The sequence below is a fragment of the Homo sapiens genome, chromosome 19, assembly GCF_000001405.40.
Source record: "Homo sapiens chromosome 19, GRCh38.p14 Primary Assembly".
NCBI classification, from domain to species: domain Eukaryota; kingdom Metazoa; phylum Chordata; class Mammalia; order Primates; family Hominidae; genus Homo; species Homo sapiens.
The window spans coordinates 54,414,770-54,438,275 of NC_000019.10; the positions used below are offsets into that span (position 1 = coordinate 54,414,770).

The following is a 23,506-nucleotide window of genomic DNA, read 5'->3' on the forward strand; positions in this document are numbered from 1 at the left end:
GCCAAGGGGCAGGGGTCCTTGTATACACCGAAGTAATCCCGAGTCAGTTTACAGGATGGGAAGGGCCCCTATATAGATGACCAGGGTCCTTATGCAGGTAGAAGGGGTCCTTATGCAGCATGAAGGCTTGCTACACAGGCGTGTGGATTTTTCCATACATTCTGGAGTAGCCTCTACACATAGGAGTGTTTGTGCTTAGAAGCTGTGTCCTTATGCAGGCTAGGAATAAAAGTGGGACGGAGATTTTACACAAATACGGGCATCTTTTACAGGTGGGAGCACTTTCGTACACAGAGGACTTCTTATCCATGGAATTGGCCGTTCTTTGTAAAACGCTCTGTACTTACTAGCAACCTTTACACAGACATGAAGTTTCTCCATAAGGATAAAGGGATCATTATGTTTTAGGTGAAATAACAGTATGAGTGGCCTCGTATGGACAAGGAGGGCTGATTTCAATCGCGATGCAAGCCAGCTGTCCGGATGCCGCCGACGCCAGCAGCGCGGTACCTGCGCGGGCAGCAGGTGGGAGCCGCGACCGGGGTGGGGCGCGGAGCGCTGGGGGCCTCCCGACTCCCGCAGTCCCCGCCGCGACCACCAGGGGCAGCACCGTCCCCGCCCGGCCCGCGCCTCCCTCCCCCCAATCTCCGCCCCCCACCCCCTGCCTCCCCCCCGCTCCCGCTCCCCTGAGCCCAGCCAGACCCCGCGCCGCCCGCGCCCCGCTCGACTCCGGAGGCTCCCGCAGCCCCGGCGTCCGCCCCGCTGCCCCCTCCCCCGGGGGCCATGGGGGCGCCCCCGGGCTACCGGCCCTCAGCTTGGGTGCATCTCCTCCACCAGCTGCCCCGCGCCGACTTCCAGCTCCGCCCGGTGCCCAGCGTTTTCGCGCCCCAAGAGCAGGAATACCAGCAGGTGGGACCGGGCGCCAGGGCCTGGGGGCCAGGGCTGGGGGCCGGAGCTCCTGGGTCCCGAGGGAGAAGGGGGCTGGGTCACAGATTTCCTGAGCTCCGCCGGAGGCTGGGGGCCGGCCCGGACTTTGGGGTTTCGGAGGGAGGAGGAGCCTGGGGGCGCCCATGCCTGGAGGTTCTCCTGGGACGCGCGCTGGGGGTCCAGACCTCGAGCTCTCTAAATAAGGGAAGGCTGGGGACCTGCACCCCTGAGTTCATGGAGAGGAGGGGAGGGGGGCCCGGATTCCCGGGTGTCTGATACCTGCCTGGGAAGCCGGCCTCCAGGGTCATCGGGAGGGTAGGTCTACTCTTCCTGCCCTAAAAGATGACCCTGCCCCACAGGATCAGAGCAGGTGAATATGTCCCAGATAAGGTGGGACCCAGGAGACAGCGGACCTGATAACGGTGGCGGGGAAAACGCTGGCTGCTGCGGTGCTGGGATGGGATTGAGAGTCTGAAATGGGGAAGGGGGCTTCAGGGGCTGAGGACCAGGGCTGGAAAATGAAGGGGCTCTGGGAGAGGAAGCTTCTTGCCCGTCCCAAGAAAGAAGGGGTGGTCAGGGCGCTGCAGGGGTGAGGGCCGAGATGAGGCTGGGTTTGGGGAGCCTCGGGATGACAGACCCGGGTCCCGAGGGTGGGGCCGGTGTGGGAACCTCACAGAAGCCGGTGTCCCTGGGGAAGGGGCCCGGCTCGGGGCAGCTCCAATGGGCGAAAGAGCTGTCCCCTGACCCAGTTTAATTCAAGTCCTTGACTTCGAGATTAATGAGGAGAAAGGCTTGGCTGAGCTGGGGACGGGTGGGGGTGCTGGGAGTCCCGATGTGGCCCCAGGACGGGTCCTGGCCCTGCTGATGGGGCCTGAGCCCCTGGGCTCCGTCTTGGGTTGCTCCTGGGAGAAGGGGGCTGGGATTGGAGAGCTCAGGGGGCGTGGAGGGGGTCCCAGAAAAGCGCGGAGGGGATGAGTGCTGTGTTCTGAGCTATTTGGGTCACGGCTGGCACAGCCCTGAGCAGCTCTTCCCCGCCTGCTCCTCGCCGCCCCCTCTCCCCACACACGGGGACCGCCGTCCCCTCGCCCACAGCCTCGCGGTTACACAACGGCCACCTCCAACAACGCCGCTCCACCGGCTCCGGCCTCGGCCCAGACTCACGCCCGCTCTGGCCCGGAGACCTCCCGAAGCCGCACGCGGGGATCCGCGGCCCCAGTCACCGCCAGAGGCACGGGTTTGGGGGAGCCTCACTCCGCCCCCACGGTCGGGGGTCAGGGTCAGGGTGGCAGGGATGCGCGGGCAGAGCCCCACAGCCGAGGAGGGCAAGGGGGACCCCTGCAGGGACGCGACCACCGTGGGTACAGCTGCAGACACAGCCAGGGCCTCAGGGACACTGGCCCGGGGGAGGCACACAGCCACACGCACACACTCACTGGCATATGCACAGCACACACACACGTCCACTTACTCCCATTACACACTCACATGCACACACATATGCACAGGCACACCCAGACACGCCCACTTATTCCAACACACTCACATGCACACACATATGCACAGGCACACTCAGACACACCCACTTACTCCCATTACACACTCACATGCACACTCACATGCACACACTCAGACACGCCCACTTACTTTCATTACACACATGCACACACACATATGCACAGGTACACACACACGCCCACCTACTCTCATTACACACTCACATATGCACACACACATACCCATTTACTACTCCCGCTATGCACTCACACCCACATACAACACACGCATATAGACACATGCATACACTCACATGGATATACCCACTTACACATACACAATCACACATATGCACACGCACATTGCGCACAGTGACTCACAACACACACATACACATGTATAAGCATTTACTCCCATATACAAGCACACACTGCACTTATATATATATGCTTACACACTCATGCATGCACCGTCACATACACGTTTATACTCCCATACACACACACACGTACATTCCATTCACATCTACACACACATGCACACACATATTGACTATAGCATTCATGTGCACACACACACTCACATGCAGTCACGCATCCACACACACACTCATCCACACTGTTACACACACACAACCGGACCCACTCACAGGCCCAAGGAACTGTGCCCAGAACACACAAATGCCCACAGATGTTCTCATTTGCAGACAGCAGTGCACCCAGGAGACACACTCAGGTGCCCCCTCATCTCATGGAGACAGCCCAAAGATAAAAACATCCAGTCTCAACCAGAAACACAAACACTGCACACACTTGGGACACACACACACACACACACTGTGCCACTGTGTGTGTGTATGTGTGTGGACAAAGGCAGAAACACCGTGGTTTAGGGGAAACAGCCTTGGCAAGTCCAGAGGTGTGACTCTGATCCCAATGTTGTCCCTCCATGCTCCGGGGCTCAGTGCAAACCCCCTGGGCCACTGTGGGCCTCTGGGACCGCACAGGTCAGCTGTGAAATCCCCGCCACGTGGAGAGCCCTGTTATTCTGCAAGGCTCTGCCCACCGCAGAACGTTTCCGCGGCCTGCCTGTCTTCCGGGCCTTGGCTCTCTCCGCCTCTCTGTCCTTGTGTGTCTCTCCCGTCTCCATAGTGTTCTCACGCTCTCTCTCCCTTACTCTGCTCTTCCTCTCTGATTTGATCCCTTTTGCTCTCTGCCTTTTTCTGACTCATGCCCGAACCTTGTCTTATCTTTGTCTCTTTTTTTGGTTGTGTCTTTCTGCCTGTGCCTCCCTCCATCTCTCTCTCTCTCTCTTTCTGTTCTGTCTTCACTCTTCCAGTTTCCATTTCTGAGTCTTGCATACACACACACACACACGTTGCCACACAGCCCCTCGTCCCGTCCCTGGGTGACAAGCTCAGGCGCTGTGGGGTGTAGCGCTCAGCAGCAGGGGAGACAGTGAGCAGGGAGGAGAGGGGGAGGAAGCACGCCTCCCCCAGCCTGGCCCGAGGCACCAGGAACAGGTGCCCCCACACCCCCACCCGCCCCCTGATCCCACACGATTGTGGAGGGGCCTTGGCAGGTCCTTGGGAAAACCTCCATTCCAACTGCTGGCTGCAGAGAGAAGGAAACCCAGGCTCGGAGAAGGGGCGGTTCCTGCTAAAGATTGCACAGCCAATGGAGGGCAGAGCAGAATTGGGACCCAAGGCTTGGGGCCCCCAGTTGGAAGCTCCCTCCAGCAAGCTGGCCCTGACACCTGGAGCCCCAGCTGCCAGCCTGGGAGGGGCTGGGACCCAATCTCCCCCAAGATTAGGCCAGGGATGTCTCCCACCTTCACTCTGACATCCCAGACCCCGACCCCCCAGCCACGCAGGAAGGGGGATCTGAGTGTGGAACACACGGGTGCCCTCGGAGGTCTGATGTCACCCCCTTCCCCAGGCCTTGTTGCTGGTGGCGGCCTTGGCGGGCCTGGGCTTGGGCCTGAGCCTCATTTTCATCGCTGTCTACCTCATCCGCTTCTGCTGCTGCCGGCCCCCCGAGCCCCCCGGGTCCAAGATCCCCTCGCCCGGGGGAGGCTGCGTCACCTGGAGCTGCATTGTCGCCCTTCTCGCCGGCTGGTAATGGGGCCCCAGGGTGGGTGGGCGGTGGGGACAGGGCTCCCCAAGCTCTTTGCTGGCCTTCCTGGGGGTGTCCTCCGGGGACATGGAGGAAGCAGACAGGAAGGAGGAAACTCCCTCGTCCCTGTCCCTGCCATTTGCAAGCCCACTTCAGCGCACAGCAGGAAGGACTGTCCCATTTGATGGATGGAGAAAGTGAGGCTCTGGAGAGGAAGTGAATCAAGGGCAGCCATCTGGTGAGAAGGCGCAGGGGCAGTCAGATGGCCTGGTTTTGGTGGCTCTCCCATTGAATAGCTGTGTGACCTAAGGGAGTGATAGTCTCCCTGGGCCTCAATTTCCACATCTGTAAACTGGGCATTATCATCTCGCCCACCTCCTGCGGGGGTAAGATGGAGAGAAAGCACAGTGTCTGACTTGCAGCTACTCTCAGCCAACATTAACTGGTGATGTCTGTCATTCCGTCATTCACCAGCTCATTCATTCGACAACTGTTTATTGAGTATTTACTATGTGCCAGATACTGACCAAGCCAGGCAAGGAGCCCCTCGTGCAGCTTATGTTCTAATCAGGGAGACGGACGATAAATAGATATAATCACCCTCCAAGAGCACCTCATCTGTGCCCAGACCTGAGCTGGTCTAATTCCTTCTCACAATAATGCTGCTGGATTCAGGGGTGTCAGGCCCAGTTTCCAAAGAGGAAGGCTCAGGGACAGAGGGGAGGTCACCTTTCAAGGCCACGTGGCTTAAGAGGCAGCACAGAGATTCAGACCCAGGTTAGTAGGACCCCCTCACACCCCTCAAAGCGAGCTTAGGGGGCTTCCAATGTGAACACACCAGCTACCAAGAACGAGCTCTGAGCACAGCCCCCTCCCCGGCAGGGCAGCACCCACAGGTTGCAGACAGCAATCCTCTTCCACAGACGGGGGGTCCCAGAGGGCCAGACGCCTGCCCCGGACCCACAGCGGGCAAGGGGAGGGACCTGTAGGGGTGGCCTGTATTCAGGACGCTTCCTCCTCCGGCTCTCTGGCGTGGGGGGAGACAGGGGAGGTGGACAAAGGCCCAGTGGGGGAGAGACACGGCCCCAGCCCCCGCAGCCTGGGAACAAGAGGAGCTTTGTAGGACTCTGAACAATGGGGCGGGGACACTGGGCGTCCGACCCGAGGGATGGGGGTGGAGGCCCAGCCGGGGCTGGGAACCGGGAGGGTGTCAGGCTCCCGCCCCCTCCACTGCGGGACACCGGCCGGGGGCGGGGACGGGAGGGGTCTGGGGCCCCACATTCAGGTCCCACAATGGAGCTCTGTGTGTCGGTAGGGTGGGGGCGGGGGCACGGCTTCTCGCCCATCCTCCAGCCTCCCTCCCACATTCCCTTACTTCCCTCCCAGCTGGCCCGACGCTTGGGTCCCGGGTGGGGGAAGGCCGAGAGCTCCAGGCTCAGCGTCCCCCCAGGAGATGGTGGCAGCTGCCCCCCTTGTACCCTTAGGAACCCCCAGGAGGTGGGGGCGGAGAACGTCTCAGCACTGAAGGGTTGGCACTGCAGGCCCCAAGGACCCTAGGGCACCCTAGGACAGGTGCCAGGAGGGCTGCCTGCCTGGCAAAGGATGCGGGGGAAGGGTGTGGGGCAGGCAGTCCTAGGGAGGGGAAGACGGCCCATCCCGGAGCTGGGTGTGACTGGGGTTCTGCTCCAGGGAGGTGCGAGTTAAATCGGGGGCTCCCTCCCCCCCACCACTCCACCCACCATTAACATCACAATGACGTCCCTCCGCTGGGGGAGTGAGGCCTTCCCGTTCCCTTGGCAACCGACGGGGGCCAGGCTGAAGTCGCCCTTTTCCCACGGGCTGGCCCAATGAGGTGGGGCTGAGATGGGAGGGGTGGATAAGAAGGCGAGGTGGAGGGGATGGGGTGGGAGGGGACGGTGGCCCCCGGGGTCCTGGGACCCGCTGAGATTCCTCTCCCTCCTCCTCCGCTCAGCACTGGCATTGGCATCGGTTTCTATGGCAACAGTGAGACCAGTGATGGGGTGTCCCAGCTCAGCTCTGCGCTGCTGCACGCCAACCACACACTCAGCACCATTGACCACCTGGTGAGGGGCCAGCAACCAGTGGGACCCCAGACCCACACCTGGACGGGCTCCCCACACCCAAGGACAAAGGGATCCAAACTCAGAGCTAAGACCCCAGGCTTGAAGCTTAGGAACCCAGATTCAGAACTTCATCCTGAGACCCACAGACCTCAGACTATCCACCCAACCCCCGACCCTGGCTGCAAATTGAGGACCTCACACACAGGCCCAGCCCTGGACCTTACCTGGAACCCCCAAGCCACACAGAAACCAAGCACCAGCGACACCAGCCCCTGTCCACGGGCCAGATCCAGGGCCCCAGACCTGATTCTTGGCCCGTAAGCAAGCTCAGGGACCCCCGCCCTGAGGCCCAGGTCCCCGACTTGAGGCTTCAGCTCCGACATCAGCTCCAGGATTCTGGGCCCTGGGGCTGAGGCCTGGCCCCACTTCATGCCTTAGATTCCATGTCCAGCTGCAGACTCTAGACCATGGGACCCAGACTTGAGACCCCAGATTCTGGAAGGCAGATGAAAACTTCAGACCTAAAGCTCCACACTTAATCTCAGTCCTGGGGCTGGACTTACTACCCTGGGCTCAAGCTACCAACCATCCAGAGCTCTGGATAGAGGCCACAGAACTCCATGAACTTGATCTTGAAGCCCCTCCCCAATCCCTTCCCTTACTCAATCCTCAGATGTCCCAGACTCCAGATCTCAGACACCCGCTACTATGCACCCCTCCTTCACTTCTAAAACCCCATGCCTCGACCGCGGGCTCCCCCCAGGATGTCCTTCCAGACCTCAGCCCCTGTCCTATCCCCAGGTGTTGGAGACGGTGGAGAGGCTGGGCGAGGCGGTGAGGACAGAGCTGACCACCCTGGAGGAGGTGCTCGAGCCGCGCACGGAGCTGGTGGCTGCCGCCCGAGGGGCTCGACGGCAGGCGGAGGCTGCGGCCCAGCAGCTGCAGGGGCTGGCCTTCTGGCAGGGAGTGCCCCTGAGCCCCCTGCAGGTGGCTGAAAATGTGTCCTTTGTGGAGGAGTACAGGTGAGACGCTGCTCTTCTTGCTCTCTGTGCCGGCAGCTCTCAGGCGGAGTCCCCGGGGGGACAGTTGGCAATGCCTGGAGGCAGTTTTGGTTGTGACAGCTGGGGAGTGTGTGCGCACTGCTGGCATCCAATGGGTAGAGCCCAGGAACTGTTCAACACCCTGCAATGCACAAGAACCCCCTCCCCACCCATTGGCAGGGAATGATCCAGCCACCATGACAATTATGACGAGGCTGGCCAGGCGCGGTGGCTCAGGCCTGTAATCCCAGCACTTTTAGGAGGCCAAGGTGGGTGGATCACCTGAGGTCAGGAGTTTGAGACCAGCCTGGCCAACGTGGAGAAACCCCGTCTCTACCAAAAATACAAAAATTAGCTGGGCGTGGCGGCAGATGTCTGTAATGCCAGCTACTCAGGAGGCTGAGGCAGGAGAATCCCTTGAACCCGGGAAATGGAGGTTGCAGTGAGCCGAGATTTCACCATTGCACTCCAGCCTGGGCGATAGAGTGAGACTCCATCTCAAAAAAAAAAAAAAAAAAAAAAAGATGAGGTTGAGAAACCTACTGTGGAGGGACAGATCACCAGACCCCATGGCCATCCTGACACCCATGTCCTCACCCATTCACTCACTCACCCCCTCCACGTCACTCCACTCACTTATTCACACATGCGTTCATTCCTTGACTCACTCATTCAGCAAGTCACTCTTGGACTCAGTTACTCCTGGACTAACCCAGCAGGCCACTCACTCAGTCGTTCATCCGTGTGACATGTGTATTTGTTCAGCACTATTTTTTTTTTTTTTTTTGAGATGGAGTCTCACTCTGTCGCCCAGGCTAGAGTGCAGCGGTGCGATCTCGACTCACTGCAACCTCCGCCTCCTGGATTCAAGCGATTCTCCTGCCGCAGCCTCCCAAGTAGCTGGCATTACAGGCAGGCGCCACCACGCCCGGCTAATTTTTGTATTTTTAGTAGAAACGGGGTTTCACCATGTTAGCCAGGCTGGTCTCAAACTCCTGACCTTGTGATCTGCCCGCCTTGGCCTCTCAAAGTGTTGTTCAGCACTATTTATTTAGCACCCTCTGGTGAAAGAGGCAGCGTACCTACAGATCAGGAACCTGAGCTCGAAAGCCAGCCAGCCCCACCCTAACCACGCGGCTGCAATCAAGTTACTTTGCAGACCTCTGCCTTGGTTTCCCCATCTGTGAAATGGGAATCGGGGCAGCGTCCCCCTTGTTGAATTGGTTCGAGTTGTTGAGTTGGCATCTGAGTGCTGAGAAGGACGATTAGCACAGGGAGAGCACCGCAGAGATATGAAGTGTAGTCACCCCGGTGGCGGGCCGGGCAGTGAGCAAGTGGCAGAAATCCCTGCCACGTGGCTGCGTCCTCCGGGGGGAACCAGCAAGGGACAAACGCAGAGAAAAACATTGTAAGGTGTTGGGCCATGAGAACTTTGGAGAAAATTACAGAGGGGACCAGGCACGGTGGTTCACGCCTGTAATCCCAGCACTTTGGGAAGCCGAGGCAGGCGGATCACGAGGTCAAGAGATCGAGACCATCCTGGCTAACACGGTGAAATCCCGTCGCTACTAAAAATACAAAAATTAGCCGGGCGTGGTGGTGGGCGCCTGTAGTCCCAGCTACTTGGGAGGCTGAGACAGGAGAATCGCTTGAACCCAGGAAGTGGAGCTTGCAGTGAGCAGAGATCGTGCCACTGCACTCCAGCCTGGGTGACGGAGCGAGAATCCGTCTTAAAAAAAAAAAAAGAAAATTATAGAGGGAGATGAGGTGGGACAGAGTCTGGCAGTTCATCAGGGGGACTGAGAAGGTGGCATTTGGAGGAGAGGAGGCAGTGAGCTGTGCAGTGTCCAGGCAGCCACCCTTCCCAGCGGCCACCATGACGGTGTCCTCATTGCTTTGACCATTAGTAATCATTCATTCATTCATTCATTTATCCGACGTCAGCTGGAGGCCCTGCCCGCGGGGCATGCGCTGAGATTTGGGAGGCCTTCCGGGATGCTGCGCTCCAGCGGGGAAGGCCGACTGGGGCTGAAAAAGCTGGAGGTCAGGACACACCCGCAGGGCAGCAGGTGCAAGAGACAGACAGGCCTGGGTTTGAAGAAGTCCAGGTTCTGCATTGTGGTCAGGCCCAGGGGCTGCACAAGCCGGGCCTCAGCTCCTTCTCCTGGGCGAGGGCAGGGAAGTGGTGGGAGCCATAAGGGTGATGCCAGGGTGAGGCAGACCCACCATCACTAGAAAATATCTTCCGGGTGCACCACTGCGAAAGCACCCCACACTTGGGAGTCCCTCGACAGACAAATCAGGGGCCTCCAAGGGAGTCTTGCTGGAGGGGAGCACTTGCGAGGCTGGGCGGAAGCAGCCAGAGACCAGGGTAAGGAGTGAAGCCCAAGCTTGTGGGGCCTGCAGAGAATGGCAGGAGGATTAACTGAGCACTTACTACGTGCCGGGCACTGTGCTGTTGTTACGGCGGGTCCTTGCTCCCGGAGCTCCCAAGATCGTGGTGGCCACTTCCAAGAGGGCAGCAAGCCTCGTGTTCTCTGACCTGGGGTTCTTGGCCTCACGGATTCCAAGGAATGGAATCCTGGGCCCTGCGGTGAGTGTTTTAGCTCTATTAGAAGCCGTGGGTCACGGAAGAGAACCGTGGAACCCAGCGACCAGTGTTCAGCTCGATCAGGATGAACCCAGGCAGTTAGCTGTGCAGGAACAATGGCGAGCCTCTAGCCCGATTGGGAGCGGCAATGGGTGTCTCCCTGGATCACGAGCACAGTGGACACCCTGCCGGATCCGGAGGGTGGAAGTCAGCGGCGGGTCTGCGACGGCGGCAAACAGCAGTGGTGGACGGCGAGCGAAAGCTCAGCTCAAGCCGTAACAGACACGGACCAGAAGAGTGTGCAGTTTCAAGTTTTAATAGAGTGAAAACAGAGTTCCCATACAACGGGAGGGGACCCAAAGTGGGTAGCCGTTGCTGGCTGGAATGCCTGGGTTTCTATCCAGATCATTGTCCCTTCCCCTGTGCTCTCAGGTGATAGATGATTGGCTATTTCTTTACTTCCTATTTTTGCCTAACTAGCACTTTAGTGAGCTCTCTTTACTACCTGATTGGTTGGGTGTGAGCTAAATTGCATGCCCCGTGTTTAAAGGTGGATGCGGTCACCTTCCCAGCTAGGCTTAGGGATTATTAGTCGGCCTCGGACATCCAGCTAGTCCTGTCTCTCACTGTGGCTTGCATGCTTGCACCTCCTGAATCATGGTGGTGGGCCCTTCACTGATATTTAAGGATTAACTTTTTTTTTTTTTCATTTTTGAGACTAAGTCTCACTCTTGTCGCCCAGGCTGGAGTGCAGTGGTGCAATCTTGGCTCACTGCAACCTCCACCTCATGGGTTCAAATGATTCTCCTGCCTCAGCCTCCCAAGTAGCTGGGATTACAGGCGTGCACCACCACGCCCGGCTAATTGTTGTATTTTTAGTAAAGACGGGGTTTCACCATGTTGGCCAGGCTGGTCTCAAACTCCTGACCTCAAGTGATCCGCCTGCCTCAGCCTCCCAAAATGCGCGGATTACAGGCGTGAGCCACCTCGCCCGGCCAAGTATTAACTATTAACTAACATCTCAGTTCCCTCGTTCACGCTCAGGCTAACCTCTAAGTGTGTCCACGTGCTTGGCACTCTCCTAAGCACTTCTAGTCATGCAGCCCACTCGAGGCAATATTCTCAAGCCAGTGTTGTTGTGCTCCCCACGTTACATGTAGGGAAACTGAGGAACGAGAGGCTAAGGTTACCGAGACAAGAGTTACCCGGCCAGTTAAGCGGAGGGGCTGGGGTTGAGACCAGGCAGCCTCTGCCTCCAGACGTCATGCCCTCCAGGGATGCGATGGGATCTTTGGTGCAGTCTTGAGAACGAGTATCTCCACTCTGCAGGGTGGGGTTGGGGATGGGGAGCTCGGAGAGAACACATCACGTGTCCCTGGTCACAGGGCACATGTGTGTGGCCCGGCCAGGGGATAGTCCCAGGTGCTCAGGACCTGTATTCTAAACCGCTCCAGTGTCCTGTCTCATGATAACACTATTTCACAGAGGACCTGGGCTGTGGCCCAGACACAGTAAACAGCAGGAGGCTGAGCTTGGAGGGTGGTGAATGTGAGGCTGAGCTGGGGGGCAGGGTGAATGCTGGTGGAGGGTTGCTGTTCCGCCGGGGTGCCTGGAGGCAGGTTTGTGGTTTCAGCCCTACCCTCTCCCCTCCCAGGTGGCTGGCCTACGTCCTCCTGCTGCTCCTGGAGCTGCTGGTCTGCCTCTTCACCCTCCTGGGCCTGGCGAAGCAGAGCAAGTGGCTGGTGATCGTGTAAGTGCAGGCAGTAGGGGGACCCAGTGCTTGCCTGGCACTCTCCTGGCAGGCAGGACCTCAGTCTTACAACTCTCCTACACGGAGGACCGTGGTCCTTCACGGCCGGGTACACACGAAGAAAAGAGAGTCAGAGCAGCCCAGGAGGGAGGCGGGGACAGACCTGAAAACAGGCAGCCCTAACAGTATGAAGTATGCTGGAATCATGGCAGAAATAATCATTGTGTTGGCAATAAAGATGAGGATGAGGCCAGGCGCGGTGGCTCACACCTGTAATCCCAGCACTTTAGGAGGCCGAGGTGGGTGGATCATGAGGTCAGGAGTTTGAGACCAGCCTGACCAACATGGAGAAACCCTGTCTCTATTAAAAATACAAAAATTAGCTGGGTGTGGTGGCATGCGCCTGTAGTCCCAGCTACTCAGGAGGCTGAGGCAGGAGAATCGCTTGAACTCAGGAGGTGGAGGTTGTGGTGAGCCAAGATCACACACCATTGCACTCCAGCCTGGGCGACAGAGTGACACTCCATCTCAAAAAAAAAAAAAAAAAAAAAAAAAGGCTGGGCGTGGTGGCTCACGCCTGTAATTCCAGCACTTTGGGAGGCCGAGGAGGGCGGATCACGAGGTCAGGAGTTCGAGACCATCCTGGCTAACACGGTGAAACCCCATCTCTACTAAAAATACAAAAATTAGCCGGGCGTGGTGGCGGGCGCCTATAGTCCCAGCTACTCGGGAGGCTGAGGCAGGAGAATCGCTTGAACCCGGGAGGCGGAGCTTGCAGTGAGCTGAGATTGCACCACTGCACTCCAGCCTGGGCGACACAGTGAGACTCCATTTCAAAAACAACAACAACAAAAAAAAAAAACAGATGAGGATGATGATCTATTGAGGGTCATGCACGCTGAGTCCTTCAGTTGCCTCCACCCCATGAAGGAGCTACCATAAGGCTCCATGTGGCCGGTCAGGGACCTGACTAAGAGCGCAGAGGGTGGCCAAGTCCAAGACTGAGCCGTCCTTAAGTGTCGTGGCAAAGCCGCAGGACCACACTGATTTCACAGCTCGCTCTACGCGCCCGACACTCTTCTCTGCACTCCCTGGAGCACCTCATGCCCCCTGTGAGGAAGGTGCTTCCTTCTGCCTGTTTTTTATTTCTGTTTTTTATTTTGAGAAGGTCTTGCTTTGTTGCCCAGACTGGAGTGCAGTGGCATGATCACGGCTCACTACAGCCTCTGTCCCCTGAGGCTCAAGTGATCCCCCCACCTCAGCCTCCAGAGTAGCTGGGACCATGGGCTTATGCCACCACTCCCGGCTAAGTTTTTTTTTTTTTTTTTTTTTTTTTTTGAGCTGCAATTTGGCTCTTGTTGTCCAGGCTGGAGTTCAGCGGCGCGATCTTGGCTCACTGCAACCTCTGCCTCCTGGGTTCAGGCAATTCTCCTGCTTCAGCCTCCCAAGTAGCTGGGATTACAGGCGTATGCCACCAAACCTGTCTAATTTTGTATTTTTAGTAGAGATGGGGTTTCTCCATGTTGGTCAGGATGGTCTCAAACTCCTGACCTAAGGTGATCCGCCCGCCTCAGCCTCCCAAAGTGCCTGGATTACAGGCATGAGCCACCGTGCCTGGCCTAAGTTTTGTATATTTTTGTAGAGATGGAGTCTTGCTATGTTGCCCAGGCTGGTCTCGAACTCCTGGCCTCAAGTGATCAGCCTGCCTCAGCCTTCCAAAGTACTGGGTTTACAGGCATGAGCTACCATGCCTGGCCCTTCTCCCTGTTTAACAGAGGGAGAGACTGAAGATCAGAGAGGTTGGACCACTTGCTCAGGGCCACACAGCTAGAAGTGCTAGAGCTGGGATTTGAACCAGACAGGCCATTCTCATTGGAGGAGTCCCTGCATTCTCTCTGGCCCTGGTGGGGTGAGGCAGAGTTGAACCTGTACCTCCATTGCCCCTGAGAGAGTGGGAGAGACCCCGCGTAAGGCTTGCAGACCCATAAACCTAGCCAACACAGGGCAGGTCTGGGACTGGAAGCCAGGCCTTCAGTTTGGGGACCCCTGGGTGCCCTTCTTGCTTACTGGTCACCCTACCAATGCTGACACGCCCCCTGCACCCCTCCCCACCCGGAAAGTCCAGAGACTTTCAGATTTCAGCCCTGGCACTGTCTCCCATTCTCAGAGGAGACAGGGCAGAGCCAGAGGCTGATCAGGCTGTGGGTGGACTTGGGGGAGCCTTCGGGGGAAGTGAGCCCAGAGGTGAGCAGTCACCGTCCCAGGGTCCTGGAGCTGGGATCCAAGCTGCGACCACCCAGCCCAGGGCCCTGCTCATACCCCACACCCTGCTCATCTGGGCAGGAGCCAGATGTCCAGCTGGACATCAGCAGCCACTGGCCTACCCCCAACCACTGAACTTGTGTTTCCCTAATTCTGATCCTCCAGGCTCCAGAGGTGGGTGGAGGTGGGGGGCGGCTGTGATGGGATTTGGGGTGTGGAAAGAGGCTAGGCTAGGAGATTAAGAACCCCGGGCTGATCCTCCCTCCCCCACTCTAGGATGACAGTCATGAGTCTCCTGGTTCTCGTCCTGAGCTGGGGCTCCATGGGCCTGGAGGCAGCCACGGCCGTGGTGAGTGCCAGGGCCGGGCCATTGGGCTCTGGGACTCAGGGGGCCTGGAGACTTCAACTTCTGGATCTCGGGATGGCATGGCTTAGTAGAGAAAGGAATTGGGGGGCACGATCACAGCTCTGAGGTTTAGGGCTTGTTTCCTGGGGCCTGAGTGGGTACAGATTGGTGTCCTGGACGTTTGAGCTGTAATGGAGGAGGGGCTGGAAACCTGGATTCCTAGGTCTGAGGGAGGAGGGGCTGGGGGTCTGGACTCCTGGGTGTGAGGGAGGAGAAGCTGGGGGCCTGGACTCCTGAGTCTGAGGGAGAAAGGGCTGGAGAGTCTGAACCCCTGAGTCTGAGGGACGAGGGGCCTGGGGCCTGGACTCCTGAGTCTGAGGGAAGAGGGGCTGGGACCTGGACCCCTGGGTGGGGAGGGGAGCTGGGGAGCCAGGCACTGGGTGCTGTGGGAGTGTGGAATCGGGGCAGTTTTGGGTTTGAGCCCCTTTTCTGCTGCCTCACGCAGGGCCTCAGTGACTTCTGCTCCAATCCAGACCCTTATGTTCTGAACCTGACCCAGGAGGAGACAGGGCTCAGCTCAGGTGATTTCCAAGGGCCCGGTGGGTCCGCCGGGTTGGGCAGTGCAGGCCCTGGCTTCCTCAGGCCTCCTCTGTGCCCGGTCCTGCCCAGGGTGGGGTGGGGGTGCAGCCTGCCAGGCGAGACCCAGCCCTCTGGAAGGGAAGCAGGGCTCCTGGCCACTCCCCAGCTCGGAGCCCTCCTGGAGCCCCGCCACCCGCCAGACCCTCATCCCTTCTGCTCCAGCTGGCAGCGCCTCTCCTGGTGGGCTGGAAAAGAGGGCAGGATAAAGATAATGGTGCCAGGAAGAGAGAGGAGGGTCAGGAGAGGGTGCTCCTGGGCGTCAGGAATGGGGAGTTTGGCCCCCTGGAGAAAACTGGGGAGCACCATTTAGTCAGGGGTTCCCAGGGAGTATAGGGTTGCCCACCAGCGCCTGCTCTGGCTGTGGCAGGAGCAGAAGGGACGCGGGGCTGGCGGGTCTCTGAAGGTAAGGCCATCGGGCTCCAGGGCTGGGCTGAGGCCCCTAACCCTGCTAACCCCCCAGTGCCCGGCCTTCCCCCGGGAGATCCCTGGGGGCCCAGGCTCATGGCCTCCTCCCCTCTCCTCCTCCCACTTCAGACATCCTGAGCTATTATCTCCTCTGCAACCGGGCCGTCTCCAACCCCTTCCAACAGGTTAGGGCTGCGGGCAGGGGAAACGGGTGTTGAGGGAGCCAGAAATCTGGACTCTGAAGGGAGGGGGCGGGGCTGGGGCTGGGGCCTGGACTCCTGGGTTCCGGGGAGGATGCAGGCCAGGGGCCCGAGTGCTGTGTCCGGAGGAGAGGAGAGAGGGCCGGGGGCGTATACTCCTGGGTCCTCCTCCCTCCCTTTCTCTTTCTGCAGAGGCTGACTCTGTCCCAGCGAGCTCTGGCCAACATCCACTCCCAGCTGCTGGGCCTGGAGCGAGAAGCTGTGCCTCAGTTCCCTTCAGCGCAGGTCGGTGGGTGGGCGCTCCCCAGACACGCGGACCCCACGGGGAAGGCGGACGGGGCGGGATGGAGCTGTGGGGCGTAGGCGGGGCTGCAGAGCTAGGCGGGGCCTTGGGTTGTGGGCGGGGACGCAGGGCGGGGCCAGGGCGATGGGCGGGCCTGAAGAGTTCGTGGGAAAACGACCCCTCCTCGCCCCGCAGAAGCCTCTGCTGTCCTTGGAGGAGACTCTGAATGTGACAGAAGGAAATTTCCACCAGTTGGTGGCACTGCTACACTGCCGCAGCCTGCACAAGGTGAAGCCCCTCCCCTCCCAATTTCTTCTCCCACGGGGGGCCTCTGTCTCGACCCACAGAACTACCTCCTCCTTCTCCTTGGACCCCTGCCATTGCGCCTGAGGATATCTCTGTATCCTCTGTTTATATGATTTATCTGTCCTATATCTATTCTCTACCTATTTATAACCTGTCGTCTACCTACCTATCAAGCATTATCCATATTCCTTCCCTCCTCCCTCCCTTTCCCCCCAACTCCCGCACTCCCCGCTGGGTCCCCATCCCACCCTCCCCGTCCCTTCCTGCCACCTTTTCCTTCCTTGTCTTCTCTCCTCTCTCCGTCCTCCTGCCTCTCCCTCCCTCCTAGAGGCTGCCGCTTAGTGAGTTCTGGAGCAAGACTGCCTGGGTTCCAGTCCTACCTCCTGACCAAGGGCAAGTCACCTAACTTCTCTGTACCTCAGTTAGTTCCCTCACTTATAAACCTGGGATTGCAAGAGTGGGCACCTGTCCAGCTCCCCTGCGGCTTGTGCTGTTCATACACTGGACAGGCAGGGGTGGGCAGGGTGCCCAGGAGGAAAGATATCTGGTGTCCTGCAGGCTCCAGTTTGGGCTCTGCCGCAGGCTGCACGGCCATAGGCAGGTGAGCGTGGCTGACTCTGCTTCCCACCCGTACCGTGAGGAAGGACGAGTTTTTTTTGTTTGTTTTTTTTTCACTGGATGGCTGTGAGGATTGAAAAAAAAAATCCCCTTATAAAACAGTAGGAGCTGGCCGGGCGCGGAGGCTCACACCTGTAATCCCAGCACTTTGGGAGGCCCAGGCGGGTGGATCACCTGAGGTCAGGAGTTCAAGACCAGTCTGGCCAACATGGTGATACCCCGTCTCTACTAAAAATAGAAAAAGTTAGCCGGGCATGGTGGTGGGCGCCTATAATCCCAACTACTCGGGAGGCTGAGGCAGGAGAATCGCTTGAATCCACGAGGCAGAGGTTGCAGTGAGCCAAGATTGTGCCACTGCACTCCAGCCTGGGCAACAAGAGCGAAACTCTGTCACAAACAAACAAACAAAACCAGTAAGAGCTGTTCTAAAACACACACCCGAGGATGCCTTTCCCCGGCCAGTCTTCCCATCAAAGACCTCACATGTGCATAGCTTCACCAAGTACCTGACCCTGTTGCATTTCACAGGTGGTAACTCATCGATGCCTCATAACAATGCTATGAAGAAGGAACTATGATTATCCCACCTAACAGGTTAGAAGATGAGGAGCAGAGTTGAGGGACCTTCCCAAGGTCACACGGCCAGCCAGCCCATGCACACTGAGGAGAGAGGGACCTTCCGGAGGGCCCCGCCCTCTGCCCCCCACAGCCAGGCAGTTGCCCAGTTTTGTCCTTTCTGCTTCTGGAATGTCTTCATCCATCTACTCTCAATGCCCAATGCCCCTGCCGCAGCTGAGGCCTCGTTCTCTCCCCTGCAGAAGGAAGCATGGCCCCCTCCCCATCCATCCCCCCATGGACCCTAGAATAGGGCTGCCAGATTCAGCAAACAGCAAACCACTCTGCTATAAGTACGCCCGGTGCAATGCTGGGGAGATACTTATACTAGAAAATTATGTATTGGGCATCCGATACTCAAATGTAACTGGAAGTCCTGAATTTGATCTGGCAACCCTACCCAAGAGGGATTTGTCTACGCCATCGCATGGATCTGAGCTTTCCCTGGTCTGGCTCAGACAGACCCCTTCTGTGGCTCCCACTGCCTCCCACCCTTCTGGAACTGGCATTCCAAAAAGGGAGTGGGGAGTAAGCACTGAAGCCATGCTCAGAATTGCTGACTATTGAGCTGAGAAAGGCTGGGCCCCCACCCAGCCCAGGGCTGCCCTGATCTTTTGCATAAGGATAAACTGGGGTTCAGGCGCTTTTCTGTGGCCTAGGCAGAAACTGGGCTGGAATACAGGCCCCCAGACTCCTTTGTGGAGGGAGGGAAGGGAAGGAAGAGGACAGATCACTCTACCCTTCCCTACCACTGCACCATGAGACCCTGGGTCTCCATCTCCCCTGTCAGTGTGCCAGGGTCCTCACAGATTAAAATCAAGAATAAGCGGCGGGGCCGGGCACTGTGGCTCACGCCTGTAATCCCAGCACTTTGGGAAACCAAGGTGGGCGGATCACCAGAGGTCAGGAGTTTGAGACCAGCCTGGCCAGCATGGCGAAATCCCATCTCTACTAAAAATACAAAAAAACTAGCCGGGCGTGGTGGCACACCCCTGTATTCCTAGCTACTCAGGAGGCTGAGGCACGAGAATTGCTTGAACCTGGGCAGTGGAGGTTGCAGTGAGCTGAGATCGAGCCACTGCACTCCAGCCGGGGTGACAGAGCGAGAATCCGTCTCAAAAAAAAAAAAAAAAATAGGAGGGGGCTAGGGATGGGTGCCTCGTGCCTATAAACCCAGCACTTTGGGAGGCCCAGTGGGGCAGATCAGAACTCCTTGAGCTCAGGAGTTCAAGACCAGCCTGGCCAACATGGTGAAACCCCATCTCTATTAAAAAAAAAAAAATCAACAATAAGGGACATCAGGGATGAGGATGAAGGAGGGAGGGCACTGGAGCCTAAGAGAATCAGCTCCAATATCGCTTCTGCCCCTTCCAGACAGTGTGACTCTGGGCAAGTAGCTTGCCTTCTCTGGGCTGCAACTTCTTTCCACCATTGCAAGAGGCGGCAGCGTGAGAGGGTCAGTGTCTGCCTGGCAGGGCTGTTGTGAGGATGAAGGACAGTGTGCATGTACCAATACTCTCAAAACAGAGCCTCCATTGCCCCGACAGGTCCGTACCCCAACCCTCACTGGCTTAGTAACAGACACCCCACCTCAACCAGGTGCTCCTGCCAGAAACTCAGGCTCTTAGCTCCCACAACCATTCTCAGAACAAGTTCTGTTGGCCCTTCCTCTGAAACCTATATGGACTCCCACCGCTGTTCCTACCACCATTGCTGTGCCCTGGTCCCCGCATCCTAGCCACCATGACCACAGGGGCCTCTTCCCTGTCCCCCCTCGCCTACCCCCGTCTGTCCTCCATGCAGCAGCCAGCCAGCCAGGTGATCCTTTTAAAACACAATCCGATCAAGTTCTTCCTCTGCTTAAAACGCTCAGTGATTCCCCTCAGACATGGATTAAAATCCCTGTTCCTCGCCCTGACCTACAAGGGCCTGGGTGGTCAGTCCTGGATCTGTCTGCCTCTGGCCTCAGCCCCTCCCAGCTTCCTCTGCACAGCCCTCTGCCTGGCTCCTTCCTGGAGGACCCATCCCTGCTAGTGGGGTTACCCGACCTACCCCTGCCCTGCACTGACCCCCGCCCTCCTACCTCGTTGCACACCAGCCTCTGAGATGACCTTCTCGGTCCTGTTTACCGAAGTTTCCTGGTACTGGGGGCAGCGCCTGGGGCAGAGCAGGCTCTGTCAACCCCCACTGAATACATACGCTGTGCAGGTGCTTAGCACTCGGTGAAGGCCGTTTCTGCTGATTTCTTGGGACGACAGTCATCAGAGCCAGCATTTGTTGGCATGTTGAGTGTGTATTGTGTGCGCGGTGTCATCTTGAGCCACTGGTTGGTTTTTCGACGTGCTGTTCCACGTGCTCTAGGCCAGTGATTCTGCCCCCAGGGACACCTGGCTGGGTGAGGAGTTCTGCCCCCAGGGACACCTGGCCGGGTGCCGAGTTGCTGTTGGTTGTCACACTGCAGGAGGGGGTGCTCCTGGCATCTGGTGGGTGGAGCTGAGTGGGGCTGCTCAGCACCCCACAACACACAGGGCAGCGCCGTCACCACAGAGAATGATCTGGCTCAAAATGTCAGCAGGGCCCAGGTTATGAAGCCCTCGCCCCTGGACCAAGGCGGAGCTGGCGGTGGCTGGCCTGTGGGCGCTTGGTGCAGGGGAGGATGCTCTTGCAGGAGGTGCCGCTGCCGGGAGGGAGAAGGGAAACGGAAGTAGCAGTTCTCACGTTCCTGGGTAGATGAAGATGGAGGAGAGGGCCCAGGGCTGGTGGGAGATGCTGGACTGGTTCTAGATGTGGGGTGCTGACTGGGGAGGACCCATGTGAAAGGGAGATAGGGGCCTGCAATGACAAGGGCGGGTGCAGCTCAGGAGAAGCCAAGTCTGGAGGCTGGGCAATTAATTCCTGAGTGCCAGGCCTATCACACCAAAGACCCCACTGTACCCACTGTATTCTCAGAACTGCCCTTTGACAGGGGAAACTGAGGCACAGAGTGGTCAGTTGACGTGTGCAGTACCACAGCCGGGAGGACGGTCAGACTGATGTGCACAGTGTGTGCCGATGGGGGAGGGGGTGGGGACGCATGGCCTGATGACGCCCTCCCCTCAGGACTATGGTGCAGCCCTGCGGGGCCTGTGCGAAGACGCCCTGGAAGGCCTGCTCTTCCTGCTACTCTTCTCCCTGCTGTCTGCAGGAGCGCTGGCCACTGCCCTCTGCAGCCTGCCCCGAGCCTGGGCCCTCTTCCCACCCAGGTCAGGAGCGGGGGAGGGTAGGGTCCTGGGGAGGGAAGAGGAGGGGCAGCACCTGGGGACCACGGTGGCAGTGGGGGTGGGGGGTGCAGCCTCCTGATGGGTCCCCATCCCGCCTCTCTGCCATGCCCCGCATCAAACCCCAGTGACGACTACGATGACACAGACGATGACGACCCTTTCAACCCTCAGGTACTGGATGCCTGGGTCTGAGGGAGGAGGGGCGGGGGGTCCTGAACTCCTGGGTCTGAGGGAGGAGGAGCTGAGGGCCTGGCCGCCTGGGTCTGAGGGAGGAGGGGCTGGGGCCCGGACTCCTGGGTCTGAGGGAGGAGGGGCTGGGGTCCCACAGTACAAAGCCAATTCCCACTCCATTCCCTCCTCTCCCCCGCTACCCCGAATCTCCTAGCAGGAATCCAAGCGCTTTGTGCAGTGGCAGTCGTCTATCTGAGCCCCTCCTCCCGGCTGGACTGGAGCCTGGCTCCCCTCTTCGGTGAGCTTCCAAGGGCCACCCCAGCTCCTGCAGCCGGGCCTCTGCCCCCCTCCCGCCCTCCGAGCTGCTCCAGGCATGGGCTGCGTGCCTCCTGCTGGGTGGATCGCACCGGGCAGGCCCTCCAGCCTGCATCACTGCCCTGTCTCTCCCTCTCTCCGCAGTTCCTTCCCTGGCTGCCGGAGGAGACCCCACTAACCCAGCCTGCCTGGGCTCTGACCACTAACACTCTTGGCCATGGACAGCCTGCACAGGACCGCCTCCCTGCTCTTGGCCACTGTGCTCCCATTTCTGTCCTTGGCCTTGGGAGTAGCTGAGGGGGCAGACTAGGGAGTAGGGCTGGCAGGGGAGGGGGCAGACAGCCTCGCCTCGCACCCTTCATCCCTGGCTGCCGGTCCCATCCTTGGAGGGACTAAGCTGGGGGTGGGGGACATGAGTCCCCCTGCTGCCCCTGCCACATCCCAGTGGGCTCTGACCCCCTGATCTCAACTCGTGGCACTAACTTGGAAAAGGGTTGATTTAAAATAAAAGGGAAGACTATTTTACAAGCAGCTGGGTCCTCCTTATTTCTCCTCTCCCTTGATTCGGCCTCCTGGCCAGGGCTGGGACATCCTCCCTGCTGTCCTCTCTCCCCCGGCCTCCCAGCTGCCAGGAATTTCTGCGCCTGTCCAGGCTCAGCAAGGGGTCCAAAGACATTGTTCTTTAAAAAAAAAAAAAAAAAAATCAAAAAACAAAACGCTTTCTTCTGATTCTAAAAGTAATGCGCGTGTCCTGACACAGGAAGACACAGGCATCTCTGGCACAGAATAGATGGCCTAGAAATAGATCTAACTGTGTGTGTGTGTGTGTGTGTGTGTATATATATATATACACACATGACAGAAGACAGATTTCAAGTCAGTGTGGAAAGGACGGTTGGTTTAGCAGCAGTAGTGACATATCGGCTCTCCATCTGGCCAAAAACTTCTATAGATAAGATGGGTGGAAGATCTAGATGTATGCAAGTAAAGGCACAGAAGAATTTCTAGAGAAATTAGGAGGGTGGGCATGGTGGTGCATGCCTGTGGTTCCAGCTACTCGGGAGGCTGAGACTCCTTGCTTGAGCCCGTTTCGAGGTAGCAGTGAGCTGTGATCGTGCCACTGCACTCCAGCCTGGGCAACAGAGCAAGACCCTGCCTCTTTTTTTTTTTTTTTTTTTGTTTTTGAGACGGAGTCTCGCTCTGTCACCCAGGTTGGAGTGCAGTGGCGCGATCTCGGCTCACTGCAAGCTCCGCCTCCCAGGTTCATGCCATTCTCCTGCCTCAGCCTCCCAAGTAGCTGGGACTACAGGCGCCCGCCAACACGTCCGGCTAATTTTTTGTATTTTTAGTAGAAACGGGGTTTCACCGTGTTAGCCAAGATGGTCTCGATCTCCTGACCTCGTGATCCGCCCGTCTCGGCCTCCCAAAGTGCTGGGAATACAGGCGTGAGCCACCGCGCCCGGCCAAGACCCTGCCTCTTAAAAAAAAAAAAAAAAAAAGACAAAAAACAGAGAGAGGCTGGCTGCGGTGGCTCATGACTGTAATCCCAGCATTTTGAGAGGCCAAGGTGGGTGGATCCCTTGAGGCCAGGAGTTTGAGAGCAGAGTGGCCAACATGGTGAAACCCCGTCTCTACTTAAAGAAAAAAAAAATTAGCTGGGCATGGTGGCACAGGTCTGTAAGCCCAGCTACTCGGGAGGCTGAGGCAGGAGAATTGCTTGAACCCGGGAGGTGGAGGTTGCACCACTGTACTCCAGCCTGGGAGATCAAGTGAGACTCCATCTCAGAAAAAAACAAAACAAAACAAAACAAACCAGAGAAATTAGGAGAATATTTGTATATTGTCTGCATGTCATGTATCTGGGTAGGGAAAATGGGGAGGGAGGAGTTTAAGCAGGAGATCATAAAACCAGAAAGGAAAAGATAGCTTAGTTGGCAAATTATAGATTGAAAAACATACCGTAAAGTCAAATGGCAAATTGACAGACTGGGGAACAGTGAGTGTGTGCGTGCGTGTGTGTGTGTGTGTGTGTGTGTGTGTGTGTGTGTGTATGTTAACAGTTATGATGCAGAAATGTTATTCTTAAA

The 23,506-nt window shown here is 57.9% G+C and overlaps 2 protein-coding genes across 4 annotated transcripts, besides 2 other annotated features; both read left to right on the plus strand.

Moving 5' to 3' along the window:
* The first annotated feature begins 694 nt into the window (after positions 1–694).
* On the plus strand, positions 695–22,135 carry TTYH1 (tweety family member 1). Of its 3 annotated transcripts, none has more exons than NM_001201461.2 (14): positions 695–909; positions 4,359–4,537; positions 6,508–6,619; positions 7,421–7,641; positions 11,904–11,999; positions 14,538–14,610; positions 15,113–15,188; positions 15,781–15,836; positions 16,044–16,136; positions 16,330–16,422; positions 20,773–20,915; positions 21,059–21,104; positions 21,319–21,402; positions 21,564–22,135. In NM_001201461.2, the coding sequence occupies exons 1-13, from the start codon at positions 784–786 to the stop codon at positions 21,358–21,360; spliced, it is 1,356 nt and encodes a 451-aa protein (NP_001188390.1). In that variant the 5' UTR covers positions 695–783; the 3' UTR covers positions 21,361–21,402; positions 21,564–22,135. The 3 variants fall into 3 exon arrangements, with proteins under 3 accessions (NP_001188390.1, NP_065710.1, NP_001005367.1); NM_020659.4 differs by having other exon boundaries at positions 21,322–21,402; NM_001005367.3 differs by lacking the exon at positions 21,059–21,104 and having other exon boundaries at positions 21,322–21,402.
* LOC124904770 (LIM domain-containing protein A-like) lies at positions 2,333–3,948 on the plus strand. The gene has a single exon (XM_047439797.1). The coding sequence runs from the start codon at positions 2,367–2,369 to the stop codon at positions 3,570–3,572; it is 1,206 nt and encodes a 401-aa protein (XP_047295753.1). The 5' UTR covers positions 2,333–2,366; the 3' UTR covers positions 3,573–3,948.
* Positions 7,416–8,216: an enhancer, noted in NCBI's record as "H3K4me1 hESC enhancer chr19:54933359-54934162 (GRCh37/hg19 assembly coordinates)". NCBI's record gives its function as "activates a minimal SCP1, AML or CMV promoter by ChIP-STARR-seq in primed H9 embryonic stem cells {active_cell/tissue: H9 hESC(primed)}" and the evidence as "EXISTENCE:reporter gene assay evidence [ECO:0000049][PMID:30033119]".
* Positions 16,082–16,376: an enhancer, noted in NCBI's record as "tiled region #3780; K562 Activating non-DNase unmatched - State 4:PromP". NCBI's record gives its function as "activates a minimal TATA promoter and a strong SV40 promoter by Sharpr-MPRA in K562 cells {active_cell/tissue: K562}" and the evidence as "EXISTENCE:reporter gene assay evidence [ECO:0000049][PMID:27701403]".
* Positions 22,136–23,506: the final 1,371 nt, after the last annotated feature.

Excerpts from the sequence above, each read along its gene's own strand:
- TTYH1 (NM_001005367.3), top strand. The coding sequence starts at position 784 with ATGGGGGCGCCCCCGGGCTACCGGCCCTCAGCTTGGGTGCATCTCCTC. Across the intron at positions 12,000-14,537 it reads AGCAAGTGGCTGGTGATCGT|GATGACAGTCATGAGTCTCC; the intron begins GTAAGTGCAGGC and ends CCCCCACTCTAG. Across the intron at positions 16,423-20,772 it reads ACTGCCGCAGCCTGCACAAG|GACTATGGTGCAGCCCTGCG; the intron begins GTGAAGCCCCTC and ends CCCTCCCCTCAG.
- LOC124904770 (XM_047439797.1), top strand. The coding sequence starts at position 2,367 with ATGCACAGCACACACACACGTCCACTTACTCCCATTACACACTCACAT.